Source organism: Homo sapiens, chromosome 4 (genome assembly GCF_000001405.40).
Source record: "Homo sapiens chromosome 4, GRCh38.p14 Primary Assembly".
Classification (NCBI taxonomy): domain Eukaryota; kingdom Metazoa; phylum Chordata; class Mammalia; order Primates; family Hominidae; genus Homo; species Homo sapiens.
In genome coordinates this window covers 189,798,528-189,824,194 of record NC_000004.12, presented here as the reverse complement: position 1 = coordinate 189,824,194, position 25,667 = coordinate 189,798,528, and the positions used below count along the sequence as shown (strand labels likewise).

General features: G+C 43.1%; 2 long non-coding RNA genes across 2 annotated transcripts in view; one reads left to right on the top strand and one right to left on the bottom strand.

Annotated features, from left to right (window-relative positions):
* FRG1-DT (FRG1 divergent transcript) overlaps positions 1 to 25,667 on the top strand; it is a 176,343-nt gene that overhangs the window by 116,539 nt on the left and 34,137 nt on the right. The window lies entirely within an intron of this gene.
* LOC105377619 (uncharacterized) lies at positions 4,050 to 9,250 on the bottom strand. Its single transcript, XR_001741969.2, has 4 exons — positions 9,165 to 9,250; positions 6,568 to 6,679; positions 6,328 to 6,491; positions 4,050 to 4,129 (listed from the first exon to the last, which is right to left on the bottom strand). It is a non-coding gene; the product is annotated as an uncharacterized LOC105377619 (long non-coding RNA).

Genomic DNA, 25,667 nt, shown 5'->3' with positions numbered 1-25,667 from the left:
ATTGTCATTTTTTGGCCACTACTGACAAAATATGAGTCCTTACCCACCATCAGCCAAGAGTCAGTAGTTTTCAAAAAGATTAATAAAATGCATGATCCTTTTGTTTATTTATATTTCTCATTGAGAGTACAGATGGGTAGCTCTTGGATTTTGGAATCAACTATATTTTCTATTAAAATATGCTGTTCCAGTTGACAGGATTGTCGACCGTCTGGTTTTGAATGTTACAGTTGGCCCTTGATTTGCTTTAGTCAGTGAAGGAGAGATGGGTGCTTGGTCCAGTTGGATTAGTCTGTGGCTTCCTTCTCTGCATCATGAATGTTGGCAGGATTGGGCTTTGGCATGACTTCCTGGGGCAGTATGAGTGTTGGGCACAGGGGAGCTGTTGTATTAAACAAAGCTGTGCCTCAGAGCAGGGTGCCTTCTGCCTGGCTTAGAGCCCTACCAACAATCTTTCTGCCATCTGGCTCCAGTGAGGGCTGAAAACCTCAGTTCACAGCCCAAGTGAAATCTGCATGGGCCAATGACAGAGACACTTGAAAGAAAGAAAGTCAGAAACGACAGACTTGCTTCTTCACTAGTAATTGGAGAATACTAATTAGGAAAATAATGAAATAGTGCAAAAGTTATCTTGATTGACAAGATTAGGATTATTTGTTGATTAATCAACAGTCACTTGATACGTAAAATGTAGGTGCTAGTGTGTGTATGTATATATATATAAATATAGGCATACATATTTATGCATGTAAATACCTATTATACACATCCATTATTTGAACTTTAAAAGTGTACACATATATTGGTTTGCCAATCTTTTAAATTAATATGTAACATTTGTACGTATTTATGGGGCACCTGGGACATTTTGCTACATGCATGGAATGTGCAATGGTCAAGTCTGGGTATTTAGAGCATCCACCACCTTGAATATTTATCATTTCTATGTGTTAGGAACATCTCAAGTCGTCTCTTCCAGCTCATTAGAAACATACAATAGATTGTTGCTAACTTTTCACATGGAGCCAAGGCCTTTTCTGTCATGGTGGGATGGCTGATTGTAATCCTAATTGTCTTCCTTCCAGAAAGCACAACTCTAATGCATTATCCATTTCTTTCAAATGGAGTGAGAATTTAAAGATACTTGCAGAGTGTCCTGAAGGCAAAACCCTTATGGAGTTTTACGTAATTTTGTAACTATTTTTAATAGGAACTCACCCTTCTGAGCTATTTCAAAATAATCACTTCGGTTTTTTAATGAATAGGAAACAATAAATTTCTTTGTGCACTCTTACTCGAGTTTCAGTAATAGTTCTTTAGATAATTACGATGGCAACTGTCCTAAATGGGCTTGGTACTGACTCATGGTACCCAAACAGCACCTGGGAGGGGAGAGGGGAGCACGTATCCTGGGGTGCTTGGGACCCAGAAGCAGCATTATTCAGCATGCTTTGCAGAGGAAGTGGGAGCTTGGCTAACTGGGGGAGCTGGCCTCAGAGAAAGTCAGCTAAAAGAGTTTCTACTGTTCTCAAGAGGAGGAAACTGATGTCTACCAACTATTTTTGTGGTAGGGACCCACAGCCTAGAAAAGTAGTGAGCTAAGGAGGGTCAGTATGAATCTATATGCTGGGATTTGTGGCTCTTCCGTGACTCATACCCATTAAGGGCCTCTCTTAGGGATACGTAAAAATGACTCTAGTTATAATTAACTTACTCCAAACAGTAGGCTCTGAATGTGCACAAGCTGCTGCAACTTCTGTGACACACATGAGCCTGGCCAGGTGGGAGAGGCTAGGATATGGAATGGGTCAGGGCCAGCATTCTTGGACCTTGCTCATCCCTGCCAGTCTTACTCGGAGAGTAAGCTCCAGTTTCCCTTTGCCTTTCTATATATATTGCTACACATACACACACACAAATTGAGACTTGACAGCCACATTAAAAAAAGATATTAGTTGAGGAACAGAGCTGGAGTCCAACATCTGGTTTTGGTAAAGTCTGGCCTTTGTGCCCAATTTTACAGCTAAGCTGACTGAAGTACCACGAACTCATGAGTTGTGTAGGGTCAGCGTGTCAGGCAATAGCTCAGCTGCCATATGATCCCCCAACCCTCGTAACTTTCAGCCCCATATTTTAACTATTAAGCCACATGGCCTGCTATAGAATATGCCACAAAACACCCCAGATGTGTGTTGAGAGAGATCCTTCCATGACCCAGGTAACATCACGTCCCTGTAGGACTTTCTGATGATTGGATGTTCCTGGTGACCTCTCCTGCAGTGTAAGCGCATTAACCCAAATGTTATGAGGATTTCCCCACAGGACAGTCTTATAAGATTTTCTTATGAGGTCACTTCCTAGGAAGGCAGGGATTTAAAAGCTGCCACAACAGGCAATGAAGCAAGCAACATGTGGCTTTGCTTTCAGTCTGTCATTTTAAGCAATGAAGAATTTATACGGATAAGTTTTCTGATAATGGAAAAAGTTTCTGATATAGCTGATGGAGTGTTTTTTTTTGTTTGTTTATAGGCTTTGGATTCACCTTGAAAACATCCCCTCTGAACATCAGAAGTCCACTTGGTCCCCGAACAGTGTATTAACTTCTAACATTTCTGACTTCCAGTCATGGAGATTTCAAAACCAATTGCATATAGCAATGAAGCTTTTCACTTTTAATGGAACATTTAGGAGAAGGGCGGCTTTTCCTATTTTCTGTGTTATCTTCAGCCTGTTAACTGTTGTCAGCCCTGGAGAGAAACCATCCCTTCTCCTTAAAAACATGAACCACATACTAAGTTGCTTCTTGCCTCTTAAAGATTCAGGTCACTCAGGTACATCAGACTGAGACAGGACGCTCAGGTACATCATACTGAGACAGGACACTCAGGTACATGATACTGAGACAAACACTCAGGTACATCATACTGAGACAGGACGCTCAGGTACATCACACCGAGACAGGACATGTTGATTGTTGGTGTGTATTTCTCCCAAGCCACCACTCAAACCAGTGTTTGATTTCCATGGAGGTTGGCTGATGGCTTTTAGCTTGAGCCCCAACAGTGTGACTTCATACAAGGCAATTTCTTCAGAAATATCATGGAACTTCAGGGACATTATATTATTAAATTAAAAAAACCTAATATGTTAATTTTTTCATTAAAGTTTATGAGTTTACTGAGTTTTTCTTTTCCAAAATAGTTAATGAGCTTTTGAGTCATGTTTTTTATGAAAGGATTGACTTTCTCATGGCGTCCAACTCTGTAGATAATCATCCGAAACAGATTTGACTGTATTTGTTTAACAAAAGTCTGCCTAAACCAAACTCTGCCCTGAATTTTTTGTTTTCCACACGTATGTGCTAAATCTGTGTAATTTGGTAGTTTGTCTCTCCAGAACCACTGTTGGTCTTGTGTCACTAATCAGCAGAGGCAGCAGTCTGACGGGTCCACAGAGACAAGGGAGGCAGCGGGAGGAATGCAGTGGCCAGGCAGGTGAGGGACCTCAGGACCAGCAGCTCAGCCGCATCCTTGCATGCAGTGGCCAGGCAGGTGAGGGACCTCAGGACCAGCAGCTCAGCCGCATCCTTGCATGCAGTGGCCAGGCAGGTGAGGGACCTCAGGACCAGCAGCTCAGCCGCATCCTTGCATGCAGTGGCCAGGCAGGTGAGGGACCTCAGGACCAGCAGCTCAGCCGCATCCTTGCATGCAGTGGCCAGGCAGGTGAGGGACCTCAGGACCAGCAGCTCAGCCGCATCCTTGCATGCAGTGGCCAGGCAGGTGAGGGACCTCAGGACCAGCAGCTCAGCCGCATCCTTGCATGCAGTGGCCAGGCAGGTGAGGGACCTCAGGACCAGCAGCTCAGCCGCATCCTTGCATGCAGTGGCCAGGCAGTTGAGGCACCTCAGGACCAGCAGCTCAGCTGCATCCTTCTCTTTTCCCAAGGTCGCACTGAGCAAGTCAGGATGGTGAAGAAAGTCTCCATCTCCAAACTGAACACAGGATTTGTTGAGGTGGCCTCCTGGAGCCTAAGTGTGTTTGGGGTGATATCTACAAACTTCCATCACTGCTTCACTGGTGGCCTTTGGAGAATCACCATTTTTTTTCGGTCTTGTTCTGTGGGATATATTCTGAAAAAATAGGACAAATGCTAAAATAGCGATGTCAAATTTAAGTTTTTCATAGAAATAGCATAGTAGGGAACTATACTCATTTTTATAAGGAATACATTTAATCGTTACTCTTTCCCTTCCTTTTTTCTTTCCTTAAGAAATATTGAACGTTGATTATGTACAAAGAATAGAATATGATGGGAAACAATACAAGTACCTTATTACATATCGCATAGTATAAATCTTTAAATTGTGACTATAAATTAAACAGAGCCCCTTGATGTCATGGCTCATGCCTGTAATCCCAGCACTTTGGGAGGCCAAGGCAGGTGGATCACTTGAGCCCAGGAATTCAGGACTAGCCTGGGCAACATGGCAAAACCCTGTCTCTACAAAATGTACAAAAATTAGCCAGGCATGATGGCTCACGGCTTCAGTCCCAGCTACGTGGGAGGCTGAGGAAGGAGGATCACTTGAGCCCTGGAGATTGAGGCTGCAGTGAGCCATGACTGTGCCACTGCACTCCAGCCTGGGCAACAGAGTGAGACCTGTCTCAATCAATCAATCAATCAATCAATCAATAAAACAGAGCAACTCAGCAATAATTATATATTTAATTATTCTAAGTATTATATTATGTTTAATAATATAATTATATTTAAATATTATATATTATGTAACACATCAAAGTGTATCATATGAAGTTTTTTGTCTCCATCAGTCTCTCTTATTTTGATAGTAATGATAAAACACTGGCCCAACTTAATCCTCAGAATGTGTTTATTGAATTAAATGGTAGCCATGGAATTCAGAAGAACTTATTTGAAGAGCTTTAAAAGAGAAATAACACTTATGATTTTCCCTATTACAAAAGTATTTGTTCATAGTAGAAAATTGGAAAATTCTGGGAAACATAAGGAATAAAAGAACAATCATGCCTAATTCTATCATTCAGAGATAGCAATTACTACTAATATTTTGGCATATTTTCTCTAGCCTGTGTGTGTGTGTGTGTGTGTGTGTGTGTGTGTGTATCTGTGTGTATGTGTGTGTGTACACAAAGAAAAAGCCAGAGGAAATGCCATTTTTTTATACAAATATAAAACAAAAATGAGATCTCACAATATACATTGCTTTTAGACATATTCTTAAAATTTATATCATGAGCATTTCTTTTTGTTAATAAAGTTTTATAAAACATGATTTTTAATGGGCTGCAGATTATTTCATTATATAAATGTGCATAATTTAACTAATCCCTTATTTTTGGTCATTAAGGTTATTTTAAAATTTTAGGCTGGGTGCAGTGGCTCCTGCCTGTAATCCCAGAATTTTAGGAGGCCGAGGTGGGTGGATCACCTGAGGTCAGGAGTTTGAGACCAGCCTGACCAACATGGTGAAACCCCATCTCTACTAAAAATTCAAAAATTAGCCAGGTGTGGTGGTGGGTGCCTGTAATCCCAGCTACTTGGGAGGCTGAGGCGGGAGAATAGCTTGAACCCAGGAGGCAGAGGCAGAGGTTGCAGTGAATCAAGATCGTGCCATTGCACTCCAGTCTGGGCAACAAGAGTGAAACTCCATCTCAAAACAAAACAAAACATTTTAACCAGTATATATAACTCCCAATTGAGTATCTTTATATATAAACTTTGTGTATGTTTTGACCATTTTTAGAATAAGTTCCTAGAAGAATTACCAGAGGTACCGAGCCAAAAAGGAATGAGCATTTTTCAAGCCTCCTAATTTCCCTCCAATATTAAGAGTGCATGAGAATAATTGCTACATCTTTTTAAACTTTGGATATCAAACTTTAGAATTATTGTTTTTGGGGAAGATTTAGGCAGATACTGTCTTTAGATTACAGAAATGTCAACAGAAGTGGTCTAAGAGAAGTTATACAGTATAAAATTTGACATCTGAATCTTGGAAAAATTTTCAGTTAAATTTATATGTGTTATTTACTTCATTAGTTGCAGTGTCCAGTTACACAAACTGATCAAACACGCAACGTCACTGAGTCACAGAGACTGACTCGAAACCCTCAAAGGTGGCCCAACCTCCTACCAAAAGATTAAGCCCCTCCTGTAACATTTCTTACCAAGGGTTATTTAGTTTCTGTTTAAACACTCCCAAGCCCTAGGCCTTCCTCACTTCACCAGGTGCTCCTTGAAGTTAGTTTTCACTTATGCAGAATAGGCTTGTGTAGGCTTACCCACCTCTGAGTCCTTGAAAGTGATCCAGACCGACTTCACAGCAAATGTACCATGTTGTGGGTTTACATTTCCCATAAGTTGTGTACGGTACATATTATCTTCATTCCATATTCTCAAATTTGCAATCAACTACGGACAATCCTAAAAGAACCTAGGAAATATTGGCACTGGACATAGGTCAGTTTCAAGCAATCTAATTATGGTGTTACACATGACTATGTTGGCTTCTAACAGTGGCTTTACCTCTGACCATGATGAATTTGCTACTGAAGAGAATGTCTTCTTGGATCGTATGCATTCCCTGGTGTATGATCCTGCAGCATGGATACTGAAATCATGCCACGTTCCCAGGTATCTAGAATTATTGGAAGGTACAGTGCTTTTGTAGGGTCAACAAACGTGATGGCTTCTTGTTTATGAGTTAGTGCTGCCATAATAATAGTACTCTGTGGTCATAAATTATTGCACAAATCTTATCTTCTTTGAATTTCTAAATAATCTTGTGAAGTAAATATAGTGATTATGTTGTTCTCGATATTATTAGGTATAAATACATATTCTCAGTTTTAAGGATGAAGAGGCCAAATTTCTGAAAAAGTCACACATCTAATTAATTTTAACTGATGGACAGTGCTTGAAAATCAAGAACAGATCTTCGAATTCCACATTCTGTGCTGTTTTTACCACTTAATTTAATATAATACCTTACCTCGCCCATCGTTTCTGACTTAATGCTTACTGATTTCAAATGATACTATGAAGTAAACACCTAAGAGTCCTGTATGAGTTTTATGATTTCTCTAATCCAAGGACTAGGTTAAAACAATCCTGTGGACTTTGACCAGATACAGTCCTTCAAAAAAAAAAAAAAAAAAAAGAAGTCTGCATTTTTGTGTTGTGTCCACACAGCCAAAATATTTCTTTTAATATTTGTGGAAATTTCATCAGCAGGAGAAAATAAGGGCCAAAACCTTTCTTATCGGATTCGATTGCTTGTCCCCCCTTATTAAAGAGGACACCAAAACCAGAGAAGCCAGTGACTGACAAATGGGAAGTGTATGCTGAAACGGGGCACCTTTGCTGTTGATGAAAAAAGAATAGGCCAAGTTGGAGAGGCCAAATATGACCCCATTTGTATCTAATTTGTATGTTTTTGATATCCATCTGCTGCACAATTACAAACGTTGGCATCTAGACTGTGGAAGAAAGAGACAATATAGAATGCCTGAGCCCAGCAAGACCTTTTAGCTCTTTGAGTGAGAGCTCCAGAGTGAAGATAAAGGTCATCTTGGAAGTGAAGTATCAAGACTTTCATTAGTCCATGAATCAGAATTTTATCTCAGCCTCACTCTTCATGCTGACACCCTAGGGTGTAGTAAAACAGAGTTCTAATCAAAACAGCATAATGAAATATAATCTACAAAGGAAAAGGTTTATAGGTTAGCTTTCAAAACAGGTGTTTTGGCATTTTTAAGAATAAAACTCTCTGACAAGTTTCTTTTGTAGTTGAATATGATCTGTAAGATGTATTTTTTTCACAGAACTTCAGCAGTCCCACAGTAAGACACTTAAAGTTCTCATAAACAGAATGAAAATGGAGCTCAGAACATTTTCCATGTTAGAAGCCGTGTAGGGCAGAGGGGATAGTAACACTCTTTTCTGTGTGGTTGAACTAATTCTACTCAATCAATTGCTTTATTCAAATAGTCAGTATGAATAAACAAATATTTATTTAGCAGCTATTTAGTTGGCCCTCAGCAAATATTTATTGAGGGCCGACTCTATGCCAACATTATTAGATCTAATAATTAGATCTAATAACAACATTATTAGAAAACCCTACCTAGTCTTCCACTGGCACACACAGAAGAGAATAATTAGGAAGTGAAAGAGAAGTCGTAAACTGAAGAATGAAGCCATCTGATGATGACATCATGCTATTTGCACAGTGCCATGTTTTCCCAGGCTCATTGCCTTGAGAAAATGCTTCAGCTACCCTTTCCTTATGGAGATTTAAGTCCTAATTCAAGACATTAAGGAATTAGGAATTCAAATCCCATATTTCTCCATCCTTGTTCATGTTATCGTTAGCTTTTGAAAAGGAAGAATGATTGGCCATTTTAGTCATTGTGTCAGTGAAAACTCTATGGAATTGGTGTTTTTTTAAAAAATATATGACACCCTCATTTTTAAGATATACAGCTTTTATGCATTAAAAATGCATGAAATGTAGACAAATTTTAATGCTGACCATAGCATTTGTTTACTTATGCCAATTTATGCTATGTTCTGAAGTTTGAGTCTAAACCTTTGTCATGTCCTACGTCTAAGGTTTTTCCTGAATCATTTTCTAGTATCTGCCATGATGGCAATATTGCAATGACTTCTGCATCTTACAACCCATGTTCCTGCTCAGGCCTCCTCAGCACTAGGACAGTGACTGGCTTCTATGCTTTCCATGCACATCGAAAAAGCTGTGTCTGCACTTGTTGTTTCATGCCTTCCTTGTTTGACTCATGGATCTCTGAGAGGTCAACTGCTTGATGCTGTTGATAGATAGTATTTTTGAGCCTGTCTTATGGTTCTTCATGGGTTTACCTCCCCTTGCTCTAAAAATTTTGTCACCTATTCCAACATATTTAGCTATGCTCATACATGTACGGGCAATCATATTTCTTTGAACATAGATTTTAAAATTACTCTTTATTTCAGAAATGTTAAAATATGAAGACATAAAATCTCAGAATCAAGGAAAAGAGGGCAACTGAAACCCAAGTAGTCATGTTGCTTCCCAGGAAGATGATGGGCTGGACAAAGGAGCTGGGAGGTCAGGTTTGTACCTGCATGGCGTAGGGTCATCACTTAGCTCCATGTGCCTCTTCTGAGGGCACAGGTGTATGTGTTTGTGGTTGACTGCTTTGATATATTCCATTTCGGTTTTAAAACACCCTGAGGCAACAGGGACCAAACTACTTTTATCCATTCACAAACATCCGAAAACCAAATGTGGATCTAGGAAAAGAGATTGTTAAAGAAATTAATTTTTGCTATTACTACTAGTATTTTTTTAAAAAAAGCACTGAAACCAAACCAAAACGCAATTATTTTTCTTAGCATAAAAATTCTATACTCATACTCAGAAGTTTAAAAAAATACAATATTTATGAAGTAAACATATATTTGATTTTTTACAATTAAAAACATGCACCAAATATGCCAAGAGAAAAAGAAAGAAAATCAAAAGGTCTTATTGCTAATACTTAGTAAAAGTAGTTTACACAGAGAATCAGTATAGTTGGTTCTCCAGAAAAGACTAATTATCAGTTACTAGAAATAATTTATACATTAACACAATTTTTATAGTTTTTATTCTAAAAGTTATAAGCACAATGAAAATAATGATTTTTCGTCATCCTTTTGAGAACAAATTACTGATCTAATACGCCATCGTTCTATTCTGTGCTGTGTTTCCTATAAGCAAGAATATTCCTACATGTACTCAATATAATCATCAACATTAGATAATTAATATTGATATGTTTCTACTATTTAATTTGCAGAGTCAATTCAAATTTGCTAATTGTCCTAACAATATTATTCTTCATAGCAAACGTATCAAGTTCAGAATCCCCTGTTGCACTTAAATGTTGGTGTGGTCTGGCTCTGTGTCCCCACCCGAATCTCATCTCAAATTGTAATCCCCACATGTCAAGGGAGTACCGCAGCCTTCTCATTTCCTTCACTCTGGAAAAGTGCCTCATTTTCTCCTTGACCTTCATTATCTTGACAACTTTGAAAAGGACAGGCCAATGCCTGTGGAATGCCCATTAATTTGGATTTGTTTGATGTTTCCTCATGATTATATACAAGATACGCATCGCTGGTAGAAATGCCACTAAAAACATGGTGGAAACACCGTGAAAAAGAGACACTTTGCTTTCTTCTCTCACTGCATCATAAGAGGAGGTGCCCAACTTTGATATGTCCCATTACTGATAATGTGTAGTTGGATCACTTGATTAAAATAATATCTACCAGTGTACTCCACAGGCAGATGGAGTATTTAGTGCTGCCATAATAATAGTACTTTGTGTTCATAAACTATTGCACAAACATTGTCTAGTATGTAATATACTAAAGTTAAAGTTATTCATTAAAGTTATTTATTTTCCTTTGCAATTAGCACATACTTGGTGGGAAGTATGTTGAGACTATAAAAACATGAGGTTCCTCATCAAACTCCAATTGATTCATATATTTATTTACATCATGACGATTTGTGGTTTTCTATTTTATTCAATAAATTTTATCCTGTTACCATTACTTATTTAATGGTGATTTTGTTTTCTGGCTTTTGCTATGGGAGCCTCTTTCAGGTGGCTTGGTATCTTTTGACATAGTTCTGTGTGGGTGCCCTTCTTACCCTGCTTGGGCTCTGACACCGGCATCTTTCCTGCCTGGCCCCCTCTTGGTTGCCCTCCTTTCCCACCCAGGCTCTGCCACTGTGCTGGGGGTCACCTCATTCTGTCCCCATCTGCTCATAGGTGGCATAGTTGTCTTTCCTGCCCAAACCCACTCAATGGCCTTTGGAATGAATTGTTCAGGAAGGGAAGAGAAAGAAGAATTTTTGTTTCCATTGTTTTCTTTCAATGGCTTTTCCAGTCCTTCATTAATTTAGTCACAAATGTTGTTTTGAGCATGGATATTTTACTGAGGTCTATCTTGGTCTAGTAGATATAAAGGTAAGATACAGATGCCCATTTGGGAGCAGAAAACTTAGCAGGGAAGAGGAAACATGAGCACAGCCATCTAAAATTAGGTGTTGCTAATGTTCTACTGAAGGGATGAAGAAGGAATGTACCAGGGCTGTTCTCCACAGGCAGGAAGATGGCCTCAGAGGTCAGTTTCAAACAGGGCACCTTCTAGGACAAGGAAACAGTATTGGTCAAGCTGTTCTAGCCCGTAGCCCCCAGGCCACATGGGGCCTAGGATGGCTTTGAATGCAGTCCAATACAAATTGGTAAAGTTTCTTAAAACATTATGAGATTTCTTTGTGTGTGATTTCTTTTTCTTTTAGCTTATCTGCTATCACTAGTGTTGGTATATTTTATGTGTGGCCCAAGATAATTATTTTTCTTCCAATGTGGCCTAAGAAGGCTAAAAGGCTGGGCATCCCATGGATAGGTAAAGGCTGAGCATCCCATGGATAGGTAAAGACTGGGCATCCCATGGGTAGGTAAAGGCTGGGCATCCCATGGGTAGGTAAAGGCATGGAGGCCTGAAAGTGCAGGTAATCTTTGGGGAATAGCAAGTGATCACTGGGATCAAGAAGAGAATGTATAAATATGTGTTAAGATAAAAGCAGTAAAAAGAAAGGTTAGGGCCAGATTAGAAGGACTGTGAATATCATGTTAAAGTTTAAACTGTGCATATTAGAGTATGTGTTTTATAAAGAAAACTTTGGCAACAGTGTGGAGAAGAAATTGGAATTACATGGGAGACCATTTAAGGAGAATATTATCCACCTTTCTTTCCAACTAAGCAAAAGGCCCAGGATTCTGGTCTACACCAAGGGGTCCAGAGATAGTGAGGGTGGGGGAATTCTATGCCTCTAGGTCTGAGGCAGAGTGGTAGCTGGGTAAAAAAGTTCTAATGTACATCTGTTGCATTTCTGAGGTGTAAATACTCCCTCCATGGCCAGTTTTAAGCTATCAGCATCTCATTACTGAGCAGAGTTTAGAAGGCATTAGTATAGTCAACTTCCCTAGCCAGTGCAAGCCAGCTCTAGCTTACTCCTGACAGGTGAGGACGTGTCCTGTAACGGGAAGGGAAATGAGTGTAGGATCACAGAGAATGACTTTATGCAAAGCGGTGGACTTTATGGAACAGGTCAAAGACCTGCTCTGCACCAGAACTAGCTGAGGCTGTCTAAGGCTGAGTCAAGCACCTGGTGGCCTAGGGGGCCTGATCCAAGGGAGAGCAGGACAGGGCCCTGGTTCTGGTTGCCTGGGGAAGAGATAGCATGAATAACAAGCTGTGCTTTTGAGGGAAGACCCCTGAGAGCAGGCTGAGGAAACCCAGGGCCTATGAGGTATTTAGCAAGAGTTCCCTTCCTGGTCAAGGACAGGGCTGTGGCAGGAGGCGGCTTCTGGGAGGGTTCAGAGCCACTGGCAAGCTATGTTCTCAGAGCCTTCCACTGGTGTGCATGATCCCCTTACCTCAGAGTGACTTTCCTAAACACTTCCGCTTTCTCCTCTGTCATACACTTTCTCCAAGACAAGAAAGTGCTATCAGTTTGAATCAGGGCTAAGAAGAGAATAATAATAGCAAATCATAATGAGTCGCACTGAGGTCTGTGATGTCACTTTTCTAAATGCTTTCTATGTCTTAAGTCTTTAATGCTCACTGATATGATTTTCATTTTATAGATGAGGAAATTCAAGCAGGAAGAGATTAAGTAACATTCAGGTGAAATAGCTGGAGAGGGTATAGTGGTAGAACATGCCATAGCGGGCTGACTCCATAGCCCATGCCCCACTCTGCTACACTGGGGAGAAGAAAAAATCCAGGGAGGACAAAGTATTAGTATCTCAAGATACCATGCACTGCATAAATGAGGTAGGTGAGTCCATGACCTGGCATCTAACAGATGTGCAAGTAATCTGTTTTGAATAGATAAATGGAAAGCCTCTATTACATCAGTTAATCTTTATACGGTGAGAGTTTTATAGCCTTCACTATCTTGCGTTTTGATTTTGGGTATTTCAGAATTAAGATGATCTTTGAGCAGCGCGTTATAGTTTCCCAAACAAGAATGTGAGAAACACCGGAAGAATACGCCCAGCCTCAGCCCGAAACACCGCGGGAATACGCCCGGCCTCAGCCTGGGACACCGGAAGAATAAGCCCGGCCTCAGCCTGGAACACCGGAAGAACACGCCCGGCCTCAGCCCGGAACACCGGAAGAACACGCCCGGCCTCAGCCCGGGACACCGCGGGAACACGCCCGGCCTCAGCCCGGGACACCGCGGGAACACGCCCGGCCTCAGCCCGGAACACCGGAAGAACACGCCCGGCCTCAGCCCGGGACACCGCGGGAACACGCCCGGCCTCAGCCCGGGACACCGCGGGAACACGCCCGGCCTCAGCCCGGAACACCTGAAGAACACGCCCGGCCTCAGCCCGGGACACCGCGGGAACACGCCCGGCCTCAGCCCGGGACACCGCGGGAACACGCCCGGCCTCAGCCCGGGACACCGCGGGAACACGCCCGGCCTCAGCTCGGAACACCGGAAGAACACCGGAAGAACACGCCCGGCCTCAGCCCGGGACACCGCGGGAACACGCCCAGCCTCAGCCTGGAACACTGCGGGAATACGCCCAGCCTCAGTTTTGAAATATTGCATCAGTTCTTCTGCTCCTACATCATGGAGCTCTTCCTCATCAATAGATTTAATTAATTTAAATATTTATTTACAATAGCCTCTTTTATCTTGACCTGTTCTGCACAAGGCAGTCCTGGATACTGTGCTGAGGGTTTCACTCCGCGATAGCCGGTGCCCTACCCGAGTCTCTGCACAGCGGCTACATCCCCGTCTCAAACCAGTGCTCTGGCGTCTGTGTTTACCCTCCCTGAGCTTACTGTATAAAAAAGACTGCTTTTGAGAGACATCAAGAATGCACGGTTCCACCTTTATGATGAGAGACAGATCCCATTAAAAGAAAAGTTCTGCATTCTGAAAAACTGAGTAGGTTGGCACTTAAAAGGGAATTCCAGCTGGTTAATTTAGGGTGCTGAAAAAAAGATCCGGCACAGGAATGCTTTCTGGCTGTGGGCCCACTGCATTTTCAACTGATTGCGAACTGGAGACGTTTTCATCACACGAGGGACTCCGCTTTTCAGTATCATGTTGTTCTGAGACAGGAAAACAAGTGAGCACACACGGTTTGGCCCTGGTATCCTAGCTATATTCACGAACATGATCAATGCCAGTTGCATGGAAACCAAAGATAGCCTTATGCTTGCCGATATATTAAAAGTAAAAAAAAAATCTGAATGAAAATTTTAAAAATATTTTCCGTCTTGAAGTTTTTTTTTATTCTTGCCTCCTAATTTTCTTTTCTGTTGTGTCTAAGAAAATATTCTGAAGATATGAAAAGAGCTTTAGGTAAAAGAACAGTTTTGAAAATTGTTAATTTCCTGTGGTATTTTTTTTCTTCAGTGGCTTAATGTGAAAAAAATGTATAGGAATCCTCTGTGGGTCCAGGCAGCTCTCCAGGGCAGCTGTCCTCCATGCAATGATCCAGCAATTCATACAGCTTTAGCCTGTTGCTCTACCAACTCCACACCAGACCTGGTTCTTTGACAAAGAGAATGAGAAGCTCAGATGCTGTGGAGAGACTTTTCGCGGCTTTGGCCTGAAAGTGACACATATTGCTTCTGCTCCCGTTTCCTGGGCCAGAAGTTGTTATATGGCTCTGCCTAACTGCAAGCGTCTGGGAAGCATAGTCTCCCATCTGCCCAGAAAGAAGAAGAGAGCTGGATATTGCTGAACACTGGTAATGGCATGTTGTCCAATCATGCTTCCCAGAAACCGGCATAGTCCAAATGGTCTGTGCTCCAAGTGAACAGAAAAAAACCCTAAGTCTGCTGCCACCTATACAAACTAACAAAGCAAAACACCTCCCATTGTGATTTCTCATTTCTATAGAGTGTTGAAGTTTCCCTAAATAAATTGTCCCTTTCATAGAATTTTCTTTTCCATTTTTCCAATTTTCTCTTATTCCATTCATTTCAGCCAAAGGAATGTTGCTCACCTCTCTAGGTAGAGTCTGGATAACTTTTGCAGTAGCAGTAGCCCCAAGAATTGATGCCCTCAGAAACATGTCTGCATTTGAATTACTTCAACTCTGAATATTCTTTGTGCTATTTATTGTCAAGGCATTTAAAACTGTATGATGCAGTTGGCCTCAATACTATTAATGCACTGTCTTGGTTCCTCATCCTGGTGGTAGGACTGTTCCTCTCTTCTCAATACCACTTGGGGGGCTGGCTATCAAGTGACCAAATTTAGGGATGGTTGGGACAGGTATTGATGACCTAGAGATCCAATATTCATTTATTCTGTTTCTAACACTGTTCATTGCTTTGTATAAATCCAAGTTGCTGTCTGGTGTCATATGTCTTCCTCCCAGAGAACTCCCTTTAACATTTCTTACATGTAGGTCTGTTGGCAATGATTTCTCTCCGTTTTTATTTGTCTGAGAAAGTCTTTATTTCTCCTTCATTTTCTCACAGGGAATAAAACACTGAGTTGATATTTTTTTTTCTTTCAGCGCTTTCAAGATGTCACCCCATTGCATTCTGTATTGCGTGATTTCTGATGTGAGATCTACTGTAATTTTTCTGTGCTCCTTGTTATACAATTTGTAAGAGCTATAAAGCGTCTGAACTTTTATTCTACTTTTAAGCTAAAAATTTAGCCTGCTGTAGTTTCATAGAAGCTGGTAGAAGACAGGAGACAACAAACAAATGACAACGAGCAATCAGTGACACACTTTGTAAGATGTTCGGGAACAGGAGAGAGCTGTGGAAAGCTGGCTCCCAACAGAAATGTGTGTTTCATTGGCTGACTTCAGGATTACCTGTTTGTGTTTTGTTTTCAGTTTGAATACAAAATATATAGGCGTTCATGCATGCGCATGCGCTTGTGTGTGTGTGTGTATGTATGTGTGTATGTGTGTTTGTCTCTGTGTGTCTTGTGAGTATGCATGTGTCTCTGTGTGTGTCTGTGTGTGTGTGTATGTATGTGTGTGTGTGTGTGTGTGTGTGTGTGTGTGTGTGTTGGTACTTACTCCTGTATGGTATTGTGAGCTATTTGGCTCAGAGATTTGTTGTCTGTCATTGTTGTCTGTTTGTGACACTCTTGGCTATTATTTCTTTTGTCCTATTCTCCTCCTCTCTCTCTTTAGAGATTCCACGTATACGTGTGTTAGATCATTTGATAGTCTCTCACGGTGCTTGGGTGCATTATTCCGTGTCTGCTGCTGTACAGTCTTTTTTATTTGTGTCTTAGCCTAGGTACTTTCTATGGACCTGTCTTTAAGTTTACTGATTATTTTCTCGGTTAAGTCTTCCAATGGGGCTGTAGAAGATGCTTTCATCTCTATTACTGTCTGTTATTTCTGGGATTTGAACTACATTATTTGTTACAGTTTCCATCTCTATGCTGAAATAATCTGTCTGATCTTAAACATCATCCACCTCTTTATTGAAGGCTTTAACTTATTAATCATAATTATTTTAAGCTCTTTATCAGATAGCTCCAACATCTGTGTCGCACCTGAGTCTAGTTATGCAGATTCCCTTTTATTTTTTTTTTCGAGATGGAGTTTCGCCCTGTCTCCCAGGCTGGAGTGCAATGGTGCTGAGAGGTGACAACGTGCTAGCAGCCCTTGCTCGCTCTGGGCGCCTCCTCGGCCTCAGTGTCCTCTCTGGCCGCGCTCCAGGAGCCCTTCAGCCGGCCGCTGCGCTGTGGGGACCCCTCTCTGGGGCTGGCTGAGGCTGGAGCCGGCTCCCTCTGTTCGCGGGGAGGTGTGGAGGGAGAGGCGCAGGCCGAGCCCGGGCTGCACGCATTGCTGGCGGGCCGGCGCGGGGCGCGGGTTCCAGGTGGGCGCGGCTCTGCAGGCCCCGCACTCCGCGAGGCCGGCCGGCACCTGCTGGGCTTGACCGGGCTTGATACGGGGACGAGCTCCCTCTGGGCTGCCAGAGTGCCCGGGCTGGGTGCCGAAAAGTCCCATGGCCAGTGCCATTGAGAGGTGAAGCCAGCTGGGCTTCCGGGTAGGGTGGGAACTCGGAGAAATTTTCTGTTTAGCTAAAGGATTGTAAACACACCAATCAGCACTCTGTGTCCAGCTAGAGCTTTGTAAATGCACCAATCAACACTCTGTGTCTAGCTAGAGGTTTATAAACACACCAGTCAGCACTCTGTCTAGCTAGAGGTTTGTAAACACACTGATCAGCACTCTGTGTCTAGCTCATCTGGTGGGGACTTGGAGAACTTTTACGTCTAGCTAAAGTTTTGTAAAAGCACCAATCAGCGCTTTGTCAAAATGGGCCAATCAGCTCTCTGTAAAATGGACCAATCAGCTCTCTATAAAATGGACCAATCAGCTCTCTGTAAAATGGACCAATCAGTAGGATGTGGGTGGGGCCACCAGTGGCAACCCGCTCTGGTCCCTTTCCAGGCTGTGGAAGTTTTGTTCTTCCGCTGTTCGCAGTAAATCTTGGTGCTGCTCACTCTTTGGGTCCATGCTGCCTTTTTGAGCTGTAACAGTCACCGCAAAGGTCTGCAGCTTCACTCCTGAAGTCAGCCAGACCATGAACCCACCAGCAGGAAGAAACTCTGGACCCATCTGAACATCTGAAGGAACAAACTCCGGACACACCATCTTCAGGAACTGTAACACTCACCGCGAGGGTCCACCGCCAGGGTCCACGGGTCCGCAGCTTCATTCTTGAAGTCAGCGAGACCAAGAACCCACCAATTCCGGGCACAGTGCAACTTCCGCCTCCTGGGTTCAAGCGATTCTCCTGCCTCAGCCTCCCAAGTTGCTGGGATTACAGGCATGCACCACCACGCCTAGCTAATTTTGTTGTATTTTTAGTAGAGACGGGGTTTCACCATGTTGGCCAGGGTGTTCCCAAACTCCTGACCTCAGGTGATCCACCCGCCTCAGCCTCCCAAAGTGCTGGGATTACAGGCATGAGCCATGGCACCTGGCTGCAGATTTCTTTGTCTCTTGGCAGCGCATTGTTTTTTTTCTGTCTTTTCACATGCCTTGTAATTTTTTGTTGGAAAGTCAGACATCTTGTTCAGGACAGTAGAGACAAAGCTAGATAGTTTTTGTGTGTGGAAGTGGGTGATCTGCGAGGCCTTTAGTGTGGGCATTTGTGTTCATCTAGTGAGGAGTTGGGAAGGGTTTGAGATTTGTAGTTCCTATAATTATCCTCCATGATCCACAGTCTTCAGATTCCTCTAGCAATCCTGTGTATTTGATGTGGGGACAGTTCCCCAAAGTGTTTCTCAAAGTCTGCTCCACTCTCAGCTTTGGGCCTTCCCTCTGTGCTGTGCGGTGGAGAGCGCCGGTCTCTTATAGCTCGCTCCTCAGTGCCCGCGGCACCTTGCTCCCAGCAGTGTTGCACCTTGCTCCCCGCAGTGCTCCGTGGCACCTTGCTGCTCACGCTGGAAGCTTGTTAGTGCAGGGAACCGTGCTGGACACATCCTCTGCTGTTCTGACCCAGCCTCGGTCTCCACCTCCGTCCTTGGTTCACAGAGGCGTGACCTTCATGAGTGTTTCTCCTCCTCAGCTCTAGTTGATCCCGGAGCAATGCATTTTCTAGATCTCAACATCACAGATCGGAAGTCGGAACGGTTAGTTTGTTTTTATCTCTTAATTTATGGTCTTCAATTTGCCCATTTAATGGAAGGAAAATAGTGCGACTATTGTAACTGAACTGTCCCAGATGTAAAAGTCAATCATTTAGGCATCTAGGAAGAACCGCTAAGATACTTTGTGGGAAACAGAAGTCATGTTGGACATTATGCCTACTTCCCAAGAGCTTGTGGTCTAAATGGCAAATAGTTTCTAGTAAACCCATAGTTAAAATCTAAAATGTGTGACCTGCCAAGAACAGTTGAATGATTTCCAGGAAGGGAGTGACGACTGAGGTCAACTGCCAGGAGGAGGTGAGGCTTGGAGTCTGCATTGCTGAATGCAAAGGGCGGGGGCTTTGCTGTCAGACTGGGCAGATGCCAGCTCCCAGCTTTGCCTCTTGCCTGGTGTAGCATGTCAGTTAAATGGCTTCACACCTCTGTGTCCTAGTGGATAAAGTGCCGATGATGTTCGACCTTCAGGCTTGCCAACGGAACTAAAGGAAATAATATATGAAGACCTTCATATAGTTCTCAGCTTATAGAAGGGATATGAGCCATTAGAATTTAATTTTTGTTTTTTCTTCTGAAACCCCAATTATAAAAAATGGTAGCTTTTGCATAGGCAGAGAGAAGACAGGAAAGAACTCTAGAAGAGGAAAAAGTAGAAGTGAAGTGCCTGGATTTAGCAGTGATTATGATAGTTTTGTGGCACATGGAGACCAGCCTAGCTAGAGCAGCGACTGAAAGCGACAGGAATTAGTATAACTCCAGCGGCAAAACACAGGCAACAAATGCACACTTTTGATGGTTTGGTGCCTAAACCCTCACCTGGGCTTTTAGGCCAATATCAGACCTGCCTCATCAGGGCCATACATAGACTTGCTGGTGCCCTTCCTTGCAGAGGTGCACTAGTGCCTTTATTCCAGATAAGACAGAAGGAACAATTTCTTGGGATGGGTCAGGGTATACCTAGTTCACCATGGCAGGATGTGGCTCAGACTTTTGGAGGCTTTATTAACCAGGTCTTTCTTTCCGATGCTTTGATATCTGCGATCTTGCCTGCCGCTCCCAGAGTTAGCCAATTCCTAGAGATAGTAAAGGGTTCACCTTCAAGTGTGTCTTTCAAATGCAAACCAACCAACCCAGAGCCATACCCCCAACCCACTTCTTTAGGAGCTCTCAGACTCAGGGCCACTGTTCTGCTGCCCTGATTGCTCAAGGCCAGGTCCTGGACAACTAGGAACAGCCCCAGGGGCCATCAAGGTTATTCAAACTAGCCAATCCTAAACCTGCTTATCCTGCCTCATGTACCTTCCTGTGGGAACTGTAATGAAGACTCTTGCCTGTGTCTTTCTCTCACTCCCTCTGCCTCCTGAGTGACCCCAGTGCTTTTCCATGTGGGCCTCTGGTGTGCAGAGCCCACTTGTCCTGCGACCTGTGAGTAACAAACCATCTTTTCAGTCGTATTGTCTTCTGACCTGCTGGCCTCACCACATCTGAATAATCATAAAGCCTACATTTTAAAACAGACAAATCCCCTTACAAGAACAGGGCAGATACTCGTTATATGTTCACATCCAGAGTCTGTTAAAACAGAGACAAATCCGGTTACAAGGACGGGGCAGATACTGGTTCTATGTTCACATCCAGAGTCTGTTAAAACAGAGACAAATCCCCTTACAAGGACGGGGCAGATACTGGTTCTATGTTCACATCCAGAGTCTGTTAAAACAGAGACAAATCCCCTTACAAGGACGGGGCAGATACTGGTTACATGTTCATATCGAGAGTCTGGGCTGACAGGAGGAACTCAGTGTCTGGAAGACAAGGAGCAAGAACAGTGAGTTAGGTGGGAGGTGGCTGAGGGGAAGGTGTTTTGCCAGAGTAATGGAGGTGACGTGGAGGAGGATTGAAGCCCAGCAAGGGCTCTGTTGAGAAATACGTCCAGGCCGGGGGCTTGCAGCGCTTCTCAGGGTTTTGGCACCCAGGGTGGTCAGGGGTTGGTACCCAAGCTCTGAGAGACAGGACCTCAGGCTAAAGGAGAGAGACATGTTTCCGAATGAGAGACTCAAGGTTTTGGCACCCAGGGAAGTCAGGGGCTGGTACCCAAGTTCTGAGAGACAGGACCTCAGCCTAGAGGAGAGAGACATGTTTCCAAATGAGAGACTTGGATTCTGGGTAACACAAGTGATGTGAAAGCTTAATAATAAATCTTGGGAATGAAGCATAAGCCCAGATGTGAAACCTACGGTGCCATATCTGTGCTGGACAATAGGAGGCAGTGCTGCCCAACCCAAGGATATTGGCCAAAGCCGCCTTCAGTACTTTCTATCTAAGGTCAGCATTAAGTCTAGGAAAGACCAGACTGGGGATGAGCCTGTGGGGAGGTCAGGTTGCCACAACTGTGCGGGGAAACCAGACCAGCTCTGGCAGAAGGTGTGGTCAGGAGTCTCGTTCTTGCGTCATCCACTCAGGGTTCTAGTACAAGTTCCTTTCTCACAAGTCTTGCTGTTCCTGTTACAGTCAGCCCACTCCCCAGTCCACACAGTTTCTTGGCCCCAGGGGCCCATTTTGCTCTCATCATCCTATGGAAGGTGCCTCTTGAAATTTATAGCCCCTAAAATCCTGCAAATGCGTTGATAACAGATGTCTACTTGGCTACATCTGAGAGGGCTTCTCTGTCATGACCACCAGCCTGCAGAGTGCTGTTCCCAGCTGCTGCTTCAAGGGGGGGTGCTGACTGATGGAATTTCTGCAGGGATCTCTTCATTCTTCCTCGTTTTTCTTCCTGAGGAGAAAATTTTGCTTTATCATTAAGTCTTCTGGGTCTGATTCTGCTCAGCTGAGTCTGACACTTTCCTAAATCTTACTTTCACAGCCTCTCATGAGGTGGTCTGAGTATTACAGAATTTGACTCTCCATTGCAAGGGAACAGGGGCCAAACCCCCTCCAAAATGGCTGCAGAATAGGGGCTAGCTCGGTGTTAGGCACCCTTGAATCTAGGTTCCTTAGCTCTGACTGTCCCTGTTCCCAAATCTGTGGAGAGTAGCCCACAGTGAACTCATCCGCCCTAGATCCAGGGTGATTCTTTTGCATCACTGCTCCTAGGAGAAGAATAGTCACAAAATCTTCAAGGTATACACACACACGTACATGTATATAGACATATGTCGGAAATACATATACGTATCTGTGTACACTCGAAAGATAGAACTTGGCCCCAAAATCATGCAATCATTTTAAACAATTTCTTTCATGGTACCAGAGACACCACACCATATGAAAGTTGCTTTGGGACCTGTTCAAGTTGAATTGTGCTCTCCAATAATTCACATCTTGAAATCTTAACCTCCAGTAGCTCAGAATGTGACTGCATTTGGAGACAGAGAAATAAGGAAAAAATGTAGATGCAGGCGGATACAGAGCAAGGGTGATGTAAACACACAGGGAGAAGACAGACACCAGTGAGCTGAGGAGAGAGGCCTGAAACAGGTCTTTTCTTTACAGCACTTGGAAGGCACCAACCCTGTCGACACCTCGATTTTGGACTTCTGGCCTCAGACCTGTGAGACAGTATATTCGTGTTGTGTAAGCTGCCCAGTTGTAGTACTTTTCCACAGTAGCCCCAGCAAATCAATACAGGGCCTACAGGCATGGATTTCTGTTCCAGTTACTTTGCTTTGCAATAAATGTCCCTAAAACTTCAAGGTGTAGAACAATCATTTTGTTATCTTCATTGATTCCGTAAGTGTAGCATTCAGAAGGGACACAGGGATGATGGCTTATCTCTAATCCATGATATCTGGGTCATTAGCTGGAAAGACCTGATAGTTGGATAGAATGGTCTCACTTACTCCCAGGTCTGGGCTGGAATGATGCAAAGACTAGGTCTGCTGCCAGGAGGGCCTACATGTGGCCTTTCCATGTGGCTTGGTTTCCTCACAGCTTGGTGTCTTTGGAGCAATTGTCTTTCCTGTATGGCGGCTTATGACACCAAGCATGAATGTTCCAGGGTACAAGCAAAAGTCAGATCCTCTTTTATGACCCAGCTTGGGAGTCACCCAGGCCACATCTGCCACATGCATGGGTCTAAGCAGTCACAATCCTTTCCAGAGTCAAGTTTCGCAGGATGGTCGTGGTGGCGGAACAGACCCCACCTCCCGATGGAAAAAATGACAATACATGTTAGGGCAATGTGGGCAGTGTTGCAAAAACTTCTAAAAGTTATTATTTCCTTGAGAGGACAAGCATGTTTAATCCAAACCATGTTACCCCTTCATACAGGTCTTTGCAAGCTTTGGACCACATGGAGATAGAGAAATAAGGAAAGGACAGATTAAATAATGTCTCAAAGCCAAGTGAAGAAAGTTGGGTGTGATTGGATAAGAAAATAAGACTTGGTTTACATTTTCAGAGATAATGTGTGAAGTACAATGAACGGAACATTTTATCTCCTTTTTAAGAAGCCGAAGATCAAATACACCAGTCAAAGTGATCCTCTGAGAGTGTTAATGTGGGAGAGCTTTCAGACCAACATGCTAATAATGAAAGCCTCATGCCCTAATCTAGGTAAGAGTTTGTTTGATCCAGAAGCCACTTGACAGAATCAGAAATACTAAAGCTCAAATGTCGAAAACTATGATTACAACCTGCAGTTTGATATGAATCAGCACCAGACAGATGCTGTCTCTTTTCCCTGATGAGAACAAATACATGCTACACCCAGCAGGAGAAAGGACTCCTGACGCAGCTGTAACTCAGCTCGGCTCATGAAGGAGGCCATGCTAGGTGTTTCAGGAGGTCTTGAGATGCATTAGGCTGAGGATTCTGCTTTCAAGGAGATTATAATTTAGTTAGGAAAATTTTCCTAACAAGCTGATTTTTCATTAATATGTAAAAAAAATCCCAAAATACAGAAATGTTCAGTATCATGGGCAATAAAGGTTAGAGCTAGAGTCAGATCGTTCTGTTTATTCTAAAGCAAGAGCTCTTTCTATTCTCATCAATGTCTCTTTAATGAGAAATCAAATATTACCTTCTATTTTTCTTTAAAAACAAGAACATTTGATGAATGGCTTTCAATTCTAAAGCCAGGAAGTAGGTAGGAGGAGCAAGGTTCTTAGGGTACGTCTTCTCTCTAAAACTGGAGCCGGACTTTGAGTGAGTGCAGTGTGAGCATTTCTGACCTTCCGAAAAAGGATTCCAGATGTTTCAGAGACATTTAATGCTCTCTGAATACCCGTGTGCTCACCCACATGCCACAGCTTGTGTCTAGTCAGACAGGAGCCATTTGTAGGGGCTGAGGGGGAATGTGTGATTTGTGGGAGCTCTGGGGTAAAGCATAGAACAGTGGCTGGAAGTTCTGCACTGTTTTTTTTTTTTTTTTTTTTTGACGGAGTCTCACTGTCGCCCAGGCTGGAGTTCAGCCGCGCGATCTCGGCTCACTGCAAGCTCCGCCTCCCGGGTTCACGGCATTCTCCCGCCTCAGCCTCCCCAGTAGCTGGAAGTACAGGCTTCGCCACCAAGCACAGCTAATTTTTTTGTATTTTCAGTAGAGACGGGGTTTCACCGTGTTAGCCAGGATGGTCTCGATCTCCTGACCTCGTGATCCGCCCGCCTCGGCCTCCCAAAGTGCTGCGATTCCAGGCGTGAGCCCCCGCGCCCGGCGAAGTTCTGCACTTCTGCTGTTCCCCCGCCTTGGCAATGGGGCCGCTTGCTGAGAGGTCAGTGTCCATCACTTGGGATCCTGAATAACCAGGTGGAGCCGAACCCCTACTGACCCGACCGATTGAGGGAGAAATCCATCTTTATTGTCTTAAGCCATGAAAAGCCATGTTTTCTTGTGAGAGCAAATTAACTCCCCATGATATTTGGGGATGTGAGCCACTGTGCCTGGCCCATCCAATCTATTTTTAAATGTGACAAAATTCATACTCTTCAGGTAAGTATGTTGAAATGATTCATCAGTTCTGCTTCTTATAATTTATTTTCCAGACTGTTATCATATTTCTTTTTTTTCTCTGACACCTTTTATTTCTTTAAGTAAAAGAAGACAAATATACTAAAAGTTTAGTATTAATAGTTTTGAATTATAGATGGCGGAAACCTTTGATAACATTAATATTTGAATTTTGAATTTTATTTATTTATTTTTTTTAATTTTATTATTATTATACTTTAAGTTTTAGGGTACATGTGCACAACGTGCAGGTTTGTTACATATGTATACATGTGCCATGTTGGTGTGCTGCACTCACTAACTCGTCGTTTAGCATTAGGTGTATCTCCTAATGCTATCCCTCTCCCCTCCCCCCCACCCCACAACAGTCCCCAGTGTGTGATGTTCCCCTTCCTGTGTCCATGTGTTCTCATTGTTCAATTCCCACCTATGAGTGAGAACATGCAGTGTTTGGTTTTTTGTCCTTGTGATAGTTTGCTGAGAATTATGGTTTCCAGCTTCATCCATGTCCCTACAAAGGACATGAACTCATCATTTTTATGGCTGCATAGTATTCCATGGTGTATATGTGCCACATTTTCTTAATCCAGTCTATCATTGTTGGACATTTGGGTTGGTTCCAAGTCTTTGCTATTGTGAATAGTACCGCAATAAACATACGTGTGCATGTGTCTTTATAGCAGCATGATTTATAATCCTTTGGGTATATACCCAGTAATGGGATGGCTGGGTCAAATGGTATTTCTAGTTCTAGATCCCTGAGGAATCACCACACTGACTTCCACAATGGTTGAACTAGTTTACAGTCCCACCAACAGTGTAAAAGTGTTCCTCTTTCTCCACATCCTCTCCAGCACCTGTTGTTTCCTGACTTTTTAATGATCACCATTCTAACTGGTGTGAGATGGTATCTCATTGTGGTTTTGATTTGCATTTCTCTGATGGCCA